We start from the raw sequence: 17,956 nt of genomic DNA, 5'->3' as shown, positions 1-17,956 counted from the left end.
TAGTATAGCCTACTACACGCCCAGGCTATATAGTATAGTCTGTGGCTCCTAGGCTCCAAAGCTGTGCAGCATGTGACTGTACTGAATACTGTAGGCAATTATAACACAATGGTAGGTATTTGTGTATCTAAACATAGAAAGGTACAGTAAAAATATGGTATAAAAGATTAAAAATGCTATACCTGGCATCACATGGCATCAGCTGGACTAGCTCCCCTGAGGCTGGAGGATCCACTTCCAAGATAGCTCACTCATGTGGCTGTCACTTTGGTGCTGGCTCTTGATTCTCTTCTACTTGAGCTTCCTCACAGCATGGTGGATGGCTTCCATGAGTGAGTGTCCCAAGGGAGAACCAGGGAGACATCATCTCACCTTTTAACATCAAGTCTGAGAAATCATGTAGCATTATTTCTGAAACAGTCACAAGCCTACCTAGGTTCAAGGGGGAAAAATATAGAACCTACCTTTTGATAGAAAGAGTGTGAAGGTCACTTTGTAAGAGCGTGTGGGAGGCAGATATTGTTTTGCCCATTTGGGGAAAATACAATCTACCAAGCTCCCACCCCAAACAATTCATCTTAGCTAATTAAGGTAATTTCATCCCTTTGGCCAACAATTGGTTCAGGGCTAGGCAGGACTGAACAGTTTTGGGCAGTGAGACTCAAGAGAAGCTTGCTCAGGGTTTTTGAGAAAAAGAAGTTTCTCCCACTTGAACAAGGAAATACATGCTCCTTATGTGCCACCTGCTTCTGGTGGCCATCCTATGATTACAAGGGAAATGTGGATCACGGGATAAAAAGACTGAAGAGCCTTGTCCCTGATGACATCACTAAGATGCTGAATCAATCAGCCCTGGAGACTGCTCTGTCCTGGGACCTACTTTTATGGAGAAAATAAATAATAATTTTATGAATACTGAACCCTATTTGAGTCAAGTTTCTATCCCTTTCATCCAAAATCTCCTTAACTTACCCAGTTTCTTCCTAACATTCTTAACATTGCTGAGCTAACCTGCCCATCCTCAGGCCTTCCAAGAGCAGGAGGTGAGGTATGGGAGCCAGGGAAAGGTGAAACTAGAGGAAGTCTTATCGCACAAAAATGATAAACCATCTAAAAAGACCACAAGAACCTTTGAATTCTTCATTTGTCACATGAAAGTCCTCATGCCTGGTACTAACCCATCATGTCCTTGCCCTACACCCAAAGTATGAATAAGAAGAAGGTCGTTAAATGCCCTCTAGAAGGTGGGTGGTGCCACTAACAAAAGGTAGGATGGAGATGCTGGAGCCTGTCGTTAATGAGCTGACAGCCTAACAGAAAAAAAAAAAAAGGCTATAATTCAAGATTCACTGTATTACACATCAAAAGAAAAGTACAGATACAGTGCTATGTATCAATGAAGGATATCAATGAAGAGACAGATGTTTTTAGTTGGAAGAGATGACTGAAAGCCCCACGAGAAGATGCTTTTTGAGTTGAGTCTTCATAGAGCTAGAATTTGGATATAAGAAGATGGGGAGAACATTCCAGATGGAAGGAAGGAATCACAAGAACAAAAACCAATATATGGGAAACTGTGAGATTCCTAAAGGCTGGAAGATATTCAAAATGTGACCCAGCACTGGCCAATTAGAACAGTTACCAGTCTGCAAGGCTGAAGAAAGTCCTAGAGACCCTCTGTCAAGCCATGCATTAACCCTTATGTTACCTGGTTATGGGAATTGGGTGGACCAGGAGAGGGACTGGAGTGGCTGGAGCTTCAGGTGGGTGGCACTCAGGGGTTTAAGCAAGAGGCTATTTAGCAAGTGATAGAGAAGAATTTCAATATTTTAACAACCAGCGTGTGGCACCAGTTCTTACTAGTGAGAACCGGCTAAAAAAATCAACCCTGCCTACAGGAAACAGTGAAAAGTTCCACTTCACTAGAGTTCACAGTGAATGAAAGGAAATAATGAAAAAATAGCTGGAATTAGGCCACGAAGGAGTTTGAATTCCAAGATGAAGAATTTGGACAAAAAAATTAAGCAATACAGATCCACTGAGAATATTTTGATGACACATTCAGATCACAATGGATTGAACATGGATCTGACATGGTGTGGCTTCCTCAGAGTAGAAATTTAGCATATATGTGACAATTTGCTGTGGGTCATTGTGAAAGAGAAAATTTCTCAGGTCTCCCTAACTACAGTGAAGACCTAAAAAAACTATAAGGGAATACTTTAATGACTTCCAACCATCAGCATGAAAGATGTCTAGAAGAAAATGAAGAGAAATGTAAATGTGTGCTGACAATGGCAGAAAGCAAACAGTTAACTCCCATCAGCAATCACAGGGACTCGGCTGCTCCAAGATGCCATCCCACAGAACACCTGAGAGAGCTGAGGGCCAGGAATTAGAGCAGAGGCAACAGGAAGTGAGAGGCGCTTGAAGGGATAACAATAATGACCCTCCACATTTGCAAAGTGCAATTTACAAGGCACCCTTTCTTTTAATCCACACGGCAATACTGCGAGTAGTAATTAACATTTGTATAACACTATACCATTGAAAGAGCCCTTTTATATTCATTATTTCCTTAATTCTCCCCGTCTTACACCTGAGAAAACTGAGGCCATTAGAAAACAGCTTATCTACTAGGGGAGAAAACTGGAACTCAAACTCAGGCCTTTAGATTCCTTGTCCAGCATTTCCATTTACGCTAGTGTGGCCTCAGGGACTCTGGGGTTATTTCTTAATCTTACAAATGTGGCCTCAGTGCTCCAGGCAGCAGCTGTAGGTTGTAAGAGAAACCTAAGTATCTCCCCTTACCGTTCTCCAAGGGGTAAACCTTCTATCCCAGGACCTAAATAGAAATAGGCTCACCCTAGAGACCAGGTGCACACCTCCTGGTGCAGAGGGCTCAAGCAGTTTCTGGAAGGATCCCATCCCATCCCTGTTTTGTTCATCAAATTAGATCTGGGAATCCTTAAAGGCAAGAATCATGACTTTTTGAAATCTTCATATCTTCAGACCAGGATGTGGTACTTAACAAATACTTGTTGAATAAAAATGAATATATACTCCAGCCTGGGCAACAGAGCGAGACTCCGTCTCAAAAAAAAAATGAATATATAAGTGAATATGCATATAATACCCTTGGAAATATCTTGAGATTCCCCCTCTGTCCAGAAAAAGAAAAACAATACAAAGAGCCAAACAATTCTTGAAGCAACAAGTTATTTAATATTAAGTCATAAGTTTTTATTTTGTTTTGTTTTTCCAGACAGGGTTTCCCTCTGTTGCCCGGGTACAGTGGCACAATCAAAGCTCTCTGCAGCCTCGACCTCCACTGCTCAAGTAATCCTCCCACCTCAGCCTCCTGAGGAGCTGGGACTGCAGGCACACTCCACCACATCTGACTAATTTTTTTAATTTTTGTAGAGAAGAGGTCTCGCCACGTTGCCCAGACTGGTCTTGAACTACTGGGCTCAAGCGATCTGTCCACCTCGGCCTCCCAAAGTGCAGGGATTACAGGCATGAGCCAGCGCACCCAGCCCCTCACAGCTTGTTAACCTCCTTCATGTCCACTCCACTTAAACTGGAATCAGTTTAGCACTCATCATGCTTAGATTTTGTCATCATTTATAAAGGCTCTGCCTACAACATGTTAAACTCACTGAAAAATTAGACTATACCAATAACTTCTTACATGCCAGCTCTCTCCATCCCTCTTTTCCACTTACCTTGCTCCTTGATTTTGTGGAGCCTTCCCACCATCCACCTTCTGTGTCCTTGCTCCTTCCTTCTTTGTCCAGCATGCAGTGCCAATCAAGTGAATTCCTTTCTCACCCATGCCCTCAACTCCTTCACCCCTTTATCCTTTGTTTACACCCATACACACACACCTAACCCTAAATTCATTCCACAGCCCGTTCTCTTGGATCTGATGACTAAACTTCGAAGCACACCTGGAAGAAGCCATACAGCCACACAATCACACAACCATGTGGATTGAAGTCACCACAAAATGATAGGTCCCTAAACTTTCACACCACTCAGCCATTCTGGTTCAGCTCCTCTTTCCATTTCCTCTGAGACCACAGGACCTCCTCAAGTCCCCTACCCAATGCCTATGCCCTCTGTGCCCCCTACCCAATGCCTATGCTCACAGATGCCTTACTTCCTGCCTCATAGCATCAAAAAGGCCATGGGAAAGGATAACCCTGTACAGCCCAAACCTACAAGCTATCTACAGCCTCCCTCCCACTCTTCTCCTTCTCCACCTCTCTGAAGTAATTCCAGTCACCCACGGCTCCTCTGGGGTCTTGTTTCATTGTTCACATTCTTTCAACCTGGAATCTTTGACTTCTCATTCTGATAACTCCTTCTCCACAGCTTGTAAAACTGTATATTTTTAAATATACCCTTAATCCTAGATCCCCTCTGGCTGCCACTTTCTCCTTTTCTTCATATTCAATTTGATCAAATGAGTAATCCATAACCCCATCTCTACTCTTCATCTCTCTTCCTCAGTCCACTGCCATCTGTGTTTCTTCCTACCACCACACTAAAACTGCTCTGGCAAAGGTATCCAAGGATATGATTGCCAATCAGGTGGACACATCTCAGCCTCCACCATACTCTGCCTCGCTGAAGTCTTTCACCTTGTTGACCACTCCCTGTATCTTGGAAGTCTCTCTTCATGAGCTTTGATGACACCAGAGAAGCCTCCTCCTGCTTCCCTGATCATCTCTCTTCTTTCTTCTATGTTGGATCATCTTCCTCCACTTGCTCTATAAATATTGTTTATTCACCTAAGTTGAGCTGGTCGAGCAGCATCTGAACAGAGACTTCATCTGTCTTGTTAACCACTACAGCCTCCATGCTTAGATAGCTCTGCACACATGAAGATTCTTCTTATATATCTGCTGAATGAATGAGTGAATGTTGGAAATACTGGAGTGAACAGTGCACCATCTCTGCCCTCAAGCATCTTGGAATCCAGTGAGGAAGATGATTAAGTAAACATAAAATGACAGTAGAGTATGATGGGATTATGATACAAGGAGCTATGAGAGAACATAAGATAGATACTGGACATGCTTAATTCCTCCAGCATCAAATTGTCCCACTTACCTCAGACTCAATTTGATCAATATCGAATCGAACCATCATCTTCCCTTAAGCCCCCGAAAATGTTATTCAGTTTATGTTCTCTATCTTGGGGATGGTACTGGTACCACAGGGCTATCAAGCTAGAGTCCTAGGATTCACGCTTGATGCCTCCTTCCTCTAATGCTCCACAGCTGAACAGTGGTGAAGTTAGGTTGGTTTTGCCTTCTCAGTATTTGGTAATTCCCTCTCCCCATCTCCATGGCCATCTCACCCTGGTTATTGCAACAATATTCTAATATTCTTTGCCTCTAGTCTTTCTTCTTTCTAGAACATGTTTTCTACAGTTCCAAAAGTGAAGGGGATCACGTCACTGTCCTGCTTAAAAATCTTCAATGTTCCTTGATACATAACCCTAAGGTTACAATCCAAACTTCCAAGTATATCTCCTAATGAGCTGACCCTTGTCTCTCCCATCTCACATCCCACAGCTTCTGCCTCACATTTACCATCACCCCATACCCTAAGTCTGGTTCTACTGAACCACCTGCAAGTACTGAGAACACGAACAATGTTTCATCCCGAACCTTAATTCTGCACAAGCCACTATGTAAAACTTCCTCTGAAGACACTGCTGTAAGTCCTAAGCATTAAACATGAATTAACTCTTAATCCTCACAACAACTACTATTCTCTCCACTTTACAGATGAGGAAACTGAGACACAGAGCCAACAAATAACTTGCTAGATTTCATATAGCTAATACGTTGTGACACTGGGATTTGAACCCCAGTCTTGTGGCAGAGCCTGTGGCTGTAAATACTGTGCTATCTTGCCTGAGTTCACCTTTTTTCACTACCATGTTCATCCACCTGGTGAATTCTTATTTATATTTCAATACCCACCTCAAGCAGCACTTTTCCAGGATACTTTCCCTCCTCTCCCAGAGTTAACCTCTCATTTCTTTCCTGGCATTTGTCATTGTGTCTTGGTCACACCCCTGTTATTGCATTTGTCACTGTACTGTGTCCATTTCAGAATCAACCCAATGCTACACAGAGATCAGACTGCACATAAGAATTACCTTGAGCCATGGAAGTTCCTACATTTATTTCCTGATAAGCCCTTTTACCCATCTGTATATTATTTTTGTCTCTTGCTGTCAGTTTACCAGCTCTCACTCATCCTCAGCTCCTTGCTGGCTCCAGCCCTTCAGTTTGATTCATTGTTTGCCTGCTTTGACAAATCTACCTTGCCTGCTACCTTTCCTGAACTCTCCCTCCTTTGACTGATAACCTAGAAATGAACCCCTTTCAGCGTGACCCTGGGGAGCAGCTGTCAAGCAGGCAGCCCTAACTGGGTGGGGCTGATCCCCCAACCTGGCTCTGAACAAGTCATACTTATTTGGTTTAGCTTTTTCCTTTGGTTTCATTCAAGCTACTTCATGGGGCTGAAGAGTTATTGAAAGAATAAATGTCATAGAGAAAGTAAGAAAAACTAACAACTAGGTTTAGGAAGAACAAAAACGCTAATGAAGTCAGACTGCAGGCTCTTCACTCCCAGTGGTTCACCATTTTCACAATTCAGCGAACACCCAAGTAGCCTTTTCTTTAATTTACAGTTAGCAATTGGCTTACATTCCCCTCTGTCTATTTCTTCCAAATTTCATAGCTTCCACTTACTCATGATGTCTTCTCCATAAGTTTTATTTGCCATGACTTCATGGTTCTGTCTATGCAAATGTTCAGCTTCAGCTCTTCTAAATGCCTAATTTTCTATGTGCTTCTAATTTCAGTTTCCCAAAAACAAGAAGCTTTTTGGCCCTAGTTCATCTTTCCATGTTATGTCATGAAACATCCACTACCAGCCATCCTATAGATTGGCAGTGCTGGTGTCCAGACTAACTTCAACCCAGTCCACTCTAACAGGGTCACAGTGTGTCAAATCATGCAAAACTTGGCCACCTGGGCTGCCCCTTGAGCACAGGTTCTAAGTGAGGCATTTTCTCTTAAAAAGAACTATAGTGGCCGGGCGCAGTGGCTCTCACCTGTAATCCCAGCACTTTGGGAGGCTGAGGAGGGCAGATCACGAGGTCAGGAGTTCCAGACCAGCATAACCAACATGGTGAAACCCCGTCTCTACTAAAAATACACAAAAAATTAGCAGGGTGTGGTGGCGCACACCTGTAATTCCAGCTACTCAGGAGGCTGAGGCAGGAGAATCGCTTTAACCCGGGAGGCGGAGGTTGCAGTGAGCTGAGATCACCCCGTTGCACTCCAGCCGCCTAGGCAACAAGAGTGAAACAACGTCTCAAAAAAGAAAAAAAAGAAAAGAACTGTGGTGTGTAAGGCCTCATGATTGAGTTATGGAGTAATTTAGACAAATGATTCCTTAATATGTTGGGATCATAAATTTTTCTGAGAATCAGATGAAAGATGTGGACTCTTCGCCAGAAAAATTTCTCTTATGCAAAAAATTTACATGTAACTTTAAGGTATTAAGGAACCCCAGCAGCCGTTCATGTAACACCCCCCACCACCAAAGGTTTGAAGTCTATTACCTGGCACTTGATAAGAACTGTGAGTCAAAAAGGCATTTAGACTCAGTGGCTCCAATGCTTTCAAGCAGGGAAAATGGTAGAGTGATAGTACCCTTAGCAGAGAAGACAGAAACAGGTTTGGGGAAAACTAGTTATTCCTGAATTATTGAGTCTGAAGTGCAGGTGGGACTCTCAAGTGGATTCATAAACAAGTAACTGAAAATGTGGGTCTGGAGTAGCTGAGAACTGAGATGGAGATTTGTCTCACGTGCTCAGGGCACCTGTGAGAGCAGGTGCAGGGAAGCAGTTCACACAATGCCTATAGCCCATTATCTTTCATTTGCGTCTACTCTGCAGTTTTTGGAGACCTTTCTAAGCCCTCACTTTACTTGACAGTCCTAACAATCTTATGAAACAGGAAAGGCCTATCTCAAGACCTATTACAAATAAGGAAGTGGAAGCTCAAAGGAGTGACAAGTCTGGTCAAAAGTATTGCAATGAAGTAACAGACACAAGACTGGAACCCAAGTCTTCTGATTCTTAATACAACTCCTAATTTCATTGCAAACTGCACACAGATAAATGCCTTACTAGCACGGATCAATTTTTAAGTGCAGTAGTTTGGTTTTCGGATTTTGTCTTTGTGGCTGTCCTCAGTTTACAGAAAAGTTTGAGAGAGAGGGGTGGCAATTGTCCCTTGACAATAATCCCCAGTAATCCCGTGGCAATTGATTTGGCAATACTCACCACTGTTTACTGTTAAATATCTTCCCTGTGGAGCAATAGAGAGCCCCAACTCCTAGGAACTTGTCTACAATTCTGACCCGCACTCTGTCCTAACTAACACTCTTGGTTTTGTTTTTTGTTTGTTTGTTTTTGAGATGGAGTCTTGCTCTGTCGCCCAGGCTAGAGTGCAGTGGCGCGATCTCGGCTCACTGCAAGCTCTGCCTCCGGGGTTCACGCCATTCTCCTGCCTCAGCCTCCCGAGTAGCTGGAACTACAGGCGCCCGCCACCACGTCCGGCTAATTTTTTGTATTTTTAGTAGAGACGGGGTTTTGCCGCGTTAGCCAGGATGGTCCCGATCTCCTGACCTCGTGATCCACCCGCCTCGGCCTCCCAAAGTGCTGGGATTACAGGAGTGAGCCGCTGCGCCCGGCCTGTTTTTGTTTGTTTTTTGAGACATTGTTCCGCTCTTGTTGCCCAGGCGGCTGGAGTGCAACGGCGCGATCTCAGCTCGCTGCAAACTCCACCTCCCGGGTTCAATCGATATTTCTGCCTCAGCCTCCCAAGTAGTTGGTATTACAGGCGTGTGCCACCACGCCAGGCTAATTTTGTATTTTTAGTAGAGACAGGGGTTTCACCATGTTAGTCAGGCTGATCTCAAACTCCTGACCTCATGTGATCTACCCGCCTCGGCCTCCCAAAGTGCTGGGATTACAGGCCTGAGCCACCGCGCCCGGCCCACTGCTGTTTCCAAAAGAGACCTTTTTTGCCTATCTAACCTAAATGCCCAGAATGAGCTCATACATGGGAAAGACCCACGGACATGGACAGACTTCCCGAAGACTACTGTGCAAAACTTATAATTCTAAAAAGTCAAAAATCTTCAGGAATCACAGGACGGGGTGGAGGGGGCCGGGGGGAAAGAGGAGGGAAAAGAGGGAAAGGAGGGAGAGTGAGACTGCTTAAATCGCTGGAGAGGACGGTGGGTTTATTTGAGTCTTAAAGCTCAGTTCTGTGGTTAGCGCCGGCCGCGGTCCCAGGCCCAGCCCGGGAGGCGGGGAGGGGCGGGGCAGGCGCGGAAGCTGTCTGAGTAAGGCTTGGGCAAGGCTGGGCCGGGAAGGGCGTGGGTTGAGGAGAGGCTCCAGACCCGCACGCCGCGCGCACAGAGCTCTCAGCGCCGCTCCCAGCCACAGCCTCCCGCGCCTCGCTCAGCTCCAACATGGTAAGCCTCACTTTTCTTCTTCTTCTTCTTACATGAAAAGAAAAAGAAAAGAAAAAAAACCCACATACTTCCCAGCAGACTTTATCTTTGACTTATGTGTGGACGTGGCAGGAAACAGCAGGAAAAATCAGCCTCGTGGGAGGGAACTGGGGAAGAAGGGATGGAAGGATGAAGCCCTAAAATCATCCTTGGGGTGGCCGCCTAGGGTAGCAGCGGAGGTTCTTTAGCCTTCCCAGTCACGACAAGGCCCAGGGCTGGGGAAGAGGAAGTGCTGGCCGCTCACCGCGCGGGGGGGGGACCCGTCGTGGGTCACTGCCTCCAGCCCCTCGCCCGCGGTCTCCCGGGAGCCCAGAGACGCCTAGGAGCAAGTTTAAGGCAGGGGGCTGGAAAGCTGCGAGGGGTCACTAGTTATTTCTGTACACCAGAAAAGGGACATTTTAGAACTTGGTCGTCTAGCCCCAGGGAAAATCAAAGTTTCAGTAAGCACCCGGCAGACGGCCAAGACCCAACGGGACTGAAACTTTAGCCCGTCGCCGCCCGCAGCGCCGCGGCCAAGAATGTGGGAGGAACCCGGTCCCAGCTGAGCCCTCTCCTCCTTCCTCTTCCTTTTACCCCACCATCTATTTAGGCACTCACTCCGTAACTTATTTTTCTCTTCTTATCTCCTTTCATCTCCCAGTTGAACTCATATTTTCCATAATTCCACCTCCAAAATCTCTTTCTTTACCTCTCCTTAGTGGAGAGTCAGCAAACTGGCCCGCGGGCCAAGTCGGGTTTTCTGTTCTGCCCACAAGCTAAGAATAAAGTTTACATTTGTAAATGATTGAAAGAAATCAAAAGAAGAAAAATACTTTCTGACATGTGAAAATTATGTGGAAATCAAACTTCAGCGTCCATAAATGAAGTATTGGAACAGAGCCACGCCCATTCCCTTCCATACTGTCTGGGGTTGCAGTCCTGCTACAGCAGGGACAGAAAGCTCCGGAGGGTGTTGGTTAAGAATGAGAAGACAATAGTTGAGGTTTTTAAAATTGCTACGTCTTTTTCATCGTATTTTTTTCTTTCCTCAAATGTTGAGCGCTTAGCATGCATTTTTAAAAATTATTTCACAGTATCCGTTTATCATAATGTTTGCTCCTTGCTATCGCCATCCCCACCAAGTAAGACTCCAAGAGTGCCATGAGGTGTGGAGAGCGCCGGTTCTCCTCTCCTTCAGCCACTGCGCCACCCTGGGCAGAGCTTTCCGGTTTCTGGGCGTCCTCAGGACCCATCTCCAAAGTGCCCTGGAGCTCTACAAATTATGCCGTTCCATTTTAGTAATTTGATAATTGTGTCTCTTTCTTTCACTTTGGAGAATTACCTCTGGGAGGAAATGCAAAGAGGTTTTAATTTTCTCCTTGTGGCTGATAGCAACAGCAACAGTTTTCAAAAGAAAATAATCTCTAAATTACACCAAGACTGATGTTAAGGAGAGAAAAATGTGAAGCAGAAAGGCACTGTGAAACTGGAAAAGCAAAACTGTCTGCATTCTGGAAGGAAAAGGGGCAGGGGGAGAATCTGTAGTTCCAGAGAAAGGTGACAAAGCCCATGCTCCTCAGCCTGGTGTGGCCTCCCAGCCAGTCTCCTTCCTGTCATCTGATACCTTAGTAAGACAGGGAGATTTTAGGCCTGATATGAAGGGCATGTTGTAACAGAACAAACACATCTGTTTCTAGGCTGTGGTATTTTGTTTCTCCCCTAAAGGCCCCTGAACCTACCAACACTTTTCTTAATGAAAAGTTCAATTTAGAGCAAAACAAAAACAATCATCCTCCAACAATGTGATTCTTGGGAAAAAGTCCACCTCTCTTAGGGTTCAGGGGTTCTAACGCTGTAAGATGCAATGGGAGGCAAGACTCAGCTAGGATCTCTGCAGCATAAAGGCTGTACAGGAAGGAGGAATCAATCTGCAGCTGTGTAGCTAAGGGCTCAGATCAGTTCTTAGCACGTGTTAATTACGGAGTGAGAAAGCCTCTAGCTCTGGCCTCCAGGAAGTCCATCCTAAGAACAAACGAAAGGCTAAATGCTAAGTTGCAAATGTCACCATCCAAACATAAATCATTGTTAACGCTAGTAGGTAAAGTCTCAGAGGAAGGGTGTGGCCAGGCCGGTTTCCCAGAAAGTCTGTAATTGCGGCTTCTACCCACCAGAGGGAGGCCAACAGCTCCTCACTTTTGGGACCCTAAGTCCCCTTGGGGAACCGGATGACTGGGCCCTATAGAATTTCCTTGAAAAATTCTGCTGTGAGGAAAGAGCCCAGTACAGGATTTAAATCTCTTACATTGTAGATGCTGTGTAAGCAGCAACCTGAGAGCTTCCTGGTTTGGAGTGACCTCCAGAGAAGCTCCACCTTCTCTGTCACTATTTCCCACCAGGAAGTGGAAGCCTGCAAGGCTAAGGACTGCAGAAAGGGACTGGGAGGCCCAGATTCCAGGGCTGGCTCTGCCATATCCATTCCCTTCTCCTGTCCGTTTCCTCACATCTAAGATTAATGGTTCCTAACTCTTAAATATGAAAGCCATTTTCAAACATCTAAAAAGTTCTATCTCCCACTGCATACACAATGATAGCTATGCTTTTAGTTTTCTCTAAGGAAATGTGTGAGTCCCAGGAATTCGGTATTGCTTTAAAAAGAACTGACATTTCATTAATCACAAAAGCCTCCATACACTCTTGGAAAATAAGAAATTATTAACCTATAGACAATGTTTGGTGTGCATATGGATTTGTGGATATAGAGTTACACATGTATTTATCCACACATTTTAAAAATATGAGTAAACCTTGTCACCGTCACTCTCATCTAGGCAGTCTACTGCTTTTAAACGTGCCAGCAATGCTCCACATTTACCTTCCATATATTTCACCTGGAATAAACATGTGGCGAGGGGTAGGACGGAAGGTCACAGAGTGTGACTTTTTGTGGTTGTCTTGAACCCCTCAGCCCCTTGAAAAAATGACTCAGTCTTTTAGGAAACTGCTTTGACCTGAAATAAGAGTCCCTGGAGTTTTCTCCAGTATCCAGCCTTGACATCTTCCCTTGTCTGAGCCCTGCAATTTTTTTTCTCCAAAGGCAAAAATCTCCAGCCCTACAGAGACTGAGCGGTGCATCGAGTCCCTGATTGCTGTCTTCCAGAAGTATGCTGGAAAGGATGGTTATAACTACACTCTCTCCAAGACAGAGTTCCTAAGCTTCATGAATACAGAACTAGCTGCCTTCACAAAGGTACTGGTCCCTGTCTCCCCCACTTCCCCAAACTACCCACAACATGAAACAAGACCCTGGCAGAATGGCCAGGAATGAAGGAGCAGCAACTGACACCCCACACTCTTGCTTCATTTTAACTCACTCTAAGCCAGGAGTTTTTCCATTTAGGAAGAGAGATATATGAAATGGTATATGACGTAATGGAATTATTTTCAAATTTCATTATTCTACCCCAGAGGTTCTATGGCAGCCCTGTCCAGTAGAACTTTCTGCAGTGGTGGAAATACATTCTATATCTGCTCTATCCAACATGGTAGCCACCAGCCACATGTGTCTGCTGAGTGCTTGAAATGTGGCTAGTGTGACTAACAGACTGACTTTCTAAATTAGTTAATGTAAATGTAAATGTAAATAGCCATTTGTAACCAGTGGCTCTAAGTCTGTATCTGTGTTGGCAGCTTGGGCAAGTGGAGGATGAGACTGATTAGGCAGGGCCTGTGGCCTTTTTCCACCTGAACCCGCTGTACTTTTATATAGTTTATCTATTGGAGTTGCATGCAACACTTGAAAGAAGTGTTCCACTGGCTTTACAAAACTGAATAGCCCCTAATATCATAGAAAGAGCCCTGGACTAGGAGTGGGAAAACCTTTGGTTCAAGGCCCAGGTCTGCCCCTTAGGCAGGTCACTTCACCTCTTTTAGTCTGTTTCTGCATCTGGCAAATGGGAATATTAATAATCCCTATCCTGTACCTTATACTCCTGTGAGAATAAAATGTGGCAGCATATTTGAAAGCACATTAGAAGATGCGATATAAAGGTGTAATTATTATTTTCTCTGCAGAACCAGAAGGACCCTGGTGTCCTTGACCGCATGATGAAGAAACTGGACACCAACAGTGATGGTCAGCTAGATTTCTCAGAATTTCTTAATCTGATTGGTGGCCTAGCTATGGCTTGCCATGACTCCTTCCTCAAGGCTGTCCCTTCCCAGAAGCGGACCTGAGGACCCCTTGGCCCTGGCCTTCAAACCCACCCCCTTTCCTTCCAGCCTTTCTGTCATCATCTCCACAGCCCACCCATCCCCTGAGCACACTAACCACCTCATGCAGGCCCCACCTGCCAATAGTAATAAAGCAATGTCACTTTTTTAAAACATGAACTAGAGAGTTGGTGAATTTGTGCATGGGAGGGTGGAAAGTGGGAGGAATATAAATTAGATTGATAGAAGCTGCATAGTAAATAAGAAAAAATGCATCTTGGGTGTACACATAATCATGACTAATAGTACAACCAGATTCATCTCTAAATTATTGACTGATGGAGAGTTGTCACTTATTGTTATTGTTTACTCACTGCTACCCGTTGGCACTGTCATAGATCCTGAGAATACAACCAGCAAGACAGACAAGGTCATGCCTTCACTGAGTATAACTTCTCGTTGGGGGAGAGAACAATGACTAAATAAACAAAGGACTATCAGAGTATGATAAATCCTAGGAAGGACAGATTACAATTATGTTACAGATTCATGGGGACTAAGAGGGCACTATTCTGAGGACATGACATTTGTGCTGAGATATGAAGAACTAGAAAGAGCAAACATTTGAAAAGAAGAAGAGGGCATTTCAAGAGAAGAAATGGGAAGGGCAGAGGTCCTCCAAAGATAAGAAGGATCTAGGATGTTTGTGGAATAGAAAGGAGGCTCGTGTTGCCAAGGTCTTCATGTTTGGCTTAAGCTAGTGTTAACACTAGTTTTAATTTTCTAAGCCCTCTGATAAAGCAGCAGGGAAAGAGAGCCTAGAAAGAAGGTAAGAAGACTGATCCAGGGTTAAAGATGACAGATTAGAGGAGAGAGAGAGAAAGAGGGGCAGGTTTCCGCAATGTGCAATTATTCCTAAGAAGCACAGCGAAAAAGTGATGTGTATCCAGAAAACCTCTGATTCCTTATCCATTTATGTGAGTTTTAACTAATTAGCAAAAATCTCTCTAGATTATGGTTTATTCCTTCATAAATTCAGTGAGATGGATTAGACCATATCTGAGGTCATTTTTGGCTCTGACATTCCAAAATGAAGGCCAGCACCTTAGGGTGAGCCACTGCCTCAGCCGTTTACAGTTGTCTCAGCTATACCTGTAGCAACTGCAATTATCTTCAGTACATTTGAATCATCCAGTCTTTGAAAAGAATTCAATTTGACTTTCATAAAGATAAAAACTATCTCTTCACATACATATTTTATTGGTTTATGGGATATTTAATTAAATTATACCTTACAAGAAAAACGGGCCAGGCGCGGTAGCTCACGCCTGTAATCCAAGCACTTTGGGAGGCTGAGGCAGGCAGATCACGAGGTCAAGAGATCGAGACCATCCTGGCCAACTTGGTGAAACCCTGTCTCTACTAAAAATACAAAAATTAGCCGGGTGTGGTGGCGGGCGCCTGTAATCCCGGCTACTTGGGAGGCTGAAGCAGGAGAATCACTTGAACGCGGGAGGTGGAGGTTGCGGTGAGCTCAGATCACACCACTGCACTCCAGCCTAGCAACAGAGCAAGCTCCGTCTCAAAAAAAAAGAAAGAAAAAAAAGAATATAAACAGGTTTGGGACCGATCACAAATACACTCTTAGTGAACACATGATCCCACTGTTGGGTTGGTGCCCAAGTGTGTGGGCTATTAGAATTATCCATAGGCCTTGGACATTCATCGTTCTACGGCCACAAGTCAACATTTTTTTTTAAGAGAGAGAGAATGGAGAGATGGTAAAATGGGTCAGTTAAGAATCTGAAATAAGGCAATGAAGCGGGAAGGGAGGGGAAGAGTATGTAAGAGGTAAAACCCAAGAGATGATGATTATCTGAATGTAGTGGTGAGAAAGAGAAGCCTAGGATTATTCCCAGCTTCCCAGCATGGACAATTGGTTGGATGATGATACAATTCACTGAAATCAGGAATGAAGCAAGGGGGTTAAGCTTTAGGAGCAAAATATAGAGTCTGGTTTAAAACACATTATATTTGGCCAGGCGCGGTGGCTCACATCTGTAATCCCAGCACTTTGGGAGGCCGAGGTGGGAGGATCACTTGAAGTCAGGAGTTTGAAACCAGCCTAGCCAATATGGTGAAACCCTGTCTCTACTAAAAATACAAAAATGAGTCACACGTGGTGGCGCATGTCTGTAATCCCAGCTACTTGGGAGGCTGAGGCAGGAGAATCGCTTGAACCCAGGAATCAGAGGTTGCAGTGAGCCAAGATCATGCCATTGCACTCCAGCCTGGGCATCGCAATGAGACTCTGTCTCAAATAAATAAATAAATAAATAAATAAACCAACCATGTTGTATTTGAGATGTGTTCCTTGTGTGTGCCTATTCCTTGTTTTTGCAGCATCCATCTCCCCTTCTTCCTCAATCAAGCCCTGCTCTGCACTCCCCATCTCTTGGTGTTCTTAGTTTAGGTAGGGTTCTTCCCCAGTTCCAAGATTCAAGGACACACCTGTGCCGAAGCTAATGAGTGCCCCGCATTCCTTTGGACACAGTGATTGGCCTAGGGTGGTCAACGTGATCTAAGCTGTTCAAAATAAAGGGAATCTCAGTACCTTTGCTGAAAATTCTGGGATAAAGGCAATTGCTTATTCCTCCTTCTCGGTGGATTCTAACCTGAGAGTTTGTAGCCTTAGACAGGCCAATAGCCATCTCAAGACAACAGGGAAGGGATCTGAGAGTGGAGCCAATGTTGGAGAAACAGAGCCAAGAAATTTTAAAAAGATACCAGCTCCTAGTGCTATGCTAAGACCCTTGACCCACAGAAACTGTGAGACAGTGAAATTGTGTTGAGTAATTAAGTTTGTGGTAATTTGTTACACAATAATAGATAGCTAACACACAGTTGTAATTCTTAAAATACATTCCCACTGATTCCCTAACAATTCGTGTATGAATGTTATATTCCTTTACATTTTTAATCGTCTTAAATTTATACTCTTCCTTAAAGGATTATCTGCTCTCTGCTACCAAAAAAGTGAAACAAAAGACTCCTCAACACTTCCACACCCTCGAGTTGCTGCCTTAGATATTTCCCTTTGGTCAGAATTATTGCTTTTTTGTATGTGTCTACACCAAAGGCTTCTATTTCCTTTATTACCACTCAATCCTGAACCCCTTGAGTTCTAACACTTGCCCTCAGCATTCTACTGAAACTTCTCCCCTACTAGTCACTGGCCCAGCAGGCTTTGTTCATCCTTCCTGACGATTGCATCATGCAATGCATATTTGAGTCTCTATAATGTTCCAGACACTGTGCCGGGGGGGCAAAGCGAAAAGAATACGAACATCAGGAAACTGCCGCAGTATCCAGATCAGAGGAGGTGGTGGCCTGGACAGTGGGTGGTTGGGGATGGATTCAAGGGATATTTGGGTGGAGCATCAAATGGGCTTGGGGATTTGGTTGGATATGAGTCATGAGAGAAAAAAGTCTGATGCCCAAAGGCAGGAGGAATGGAAGGAAGCATCCAGCATGGAGAAAGATGAAAGCCAGAAGACTCAGCAAGCCAGCTTCTTCGGCCTGCTTTGTTCTAGCCACGCTGGCAGCCGATTGGATGATGCCAACCAACACTGAGGGTGGGTCTTCCTCTCCCAGTCTACTGACTCAAATGTGAATGTCCTCTGGCAACACCCTCATGGTCACATCCAGAAACAATACTTTACCAGCTATCTCGGCATCCTTCAATCCAATCAAGTTGACACCTAATATTAACCGTCACACCACCCCATCTCCCTAATGTGGGCACATTCCCCGGCCCTCATCTCTCTCTTTCTCTCTCTCTCTCTACTTCTCAAGCTAGATCTTCTCTCCAAACTCAAATTGTGAATGCCCACTGGGCATTACCAACAAGACCAATACAAAATGCCCTCACTGGGCTCATTATCTCCTCCCCAAACCAACCCTTCCTGCTAGTGTCTCTCTCTACCACTCACTTTGCTTATAGGAAGTACTCCATAGGGGTTTGTTGATCTGAATCTTGAGTTAGAAGCTTGGTACCAATTAGATCTTACTTATCAAAACCTAAGGGCCCAAGCAAGCAAAGGCTTTCTGGTTAGTTCCCTTTAGCCTGGTGTCTTAAAGCCATGGCCAG

The 17,956-nt window shown here is 44.6% G+C and overlaps 1 protein-coding gene across 1 annotated transcript, besides 3 other annotated features; it reads left to right on the top strand.

The window, feature by feature from the left end:
* Window positions 7,868-8,027: an enhancer, noted in NCBI's record as "active region_1728". NCBI's record gives its function as "activates an Ori minimal core promoter by ATAC-STARR-seq in GM12878 lymphoblastoid cells {active_cell/tissue: GM12878}" and the evidence as "EXISTENCE:reporter gene assay evidence [ECO:0000049][PMID:35858748]".
* S100A11 (S100 calcium binding protein A11) lies at window positions 9,488-13,986 on the top strand. The gene is made up of 3 exons (NM_005620.2): window positions 9,488-9,579; window positions 12,692-12,844; window positions 13,669-13,986. Exons 1-3 carry the CDS (start codon window positions 9,577-9,579, stop codon window positions 13,828-13,830), a joined length of 318 nt encoding a protein of 105 aa, NP_005611.1. The 5' UTR covers window positions 9,488-9,576; the 3' UTR covers window positions 13,831-13,986.
* Window positions 9,985-10,279: a silencer, noted in NCBI's record as "tiled region #201; HepG2 Repressive non-DNase unmatched - State 4:PromP". NCBI's record gives its function as "represses a minimal TATA promoter and a strong SV40 promoter by Sharpr-MPRA in HepG2 cells {active_cell/tissue: HepG2}" and the evidence as "EXISTENCE:reporter gene assay evidence [ECO:0000049][PMID:27701403]".
* Window positions 11,125-11,419: an enhancer, noted in NCBI's record as "tiled region #10037; HepG2 Activating DNase matched - State 4:PromP". NCBI's record gives its function as "activates a minimal TATA promoter and a strong SV40 promoter by Sharpr-MPRA in HepG2 cells {active_cell/tissue: HepG2}" and the evidence as "EXISTENCE:reporter gene assay evidence [ECO:0000049][PMID:27701403]".
* Window positions 13,987-17,956: the final 3,970 nt, after the last annotated feature.

The sequence above is a fragment of the Homo sapiens genome, chromosome 1 (genome assembly GCF_000001405.40).
Source record: "Homo sapiens chromosome 1, GRCh38.p14 Primary Assembly".
In the NCBI taxonomy this organism is placed as follows: domain Eukaryota; kingdom Metazoa; phylum Chordata; class Mammalia; order Primates; family Hominidae; genus Homo; species Homo sapiens.
This window is presented reverse-complemented; position numbering and strand designations above follow the sequence as displayed.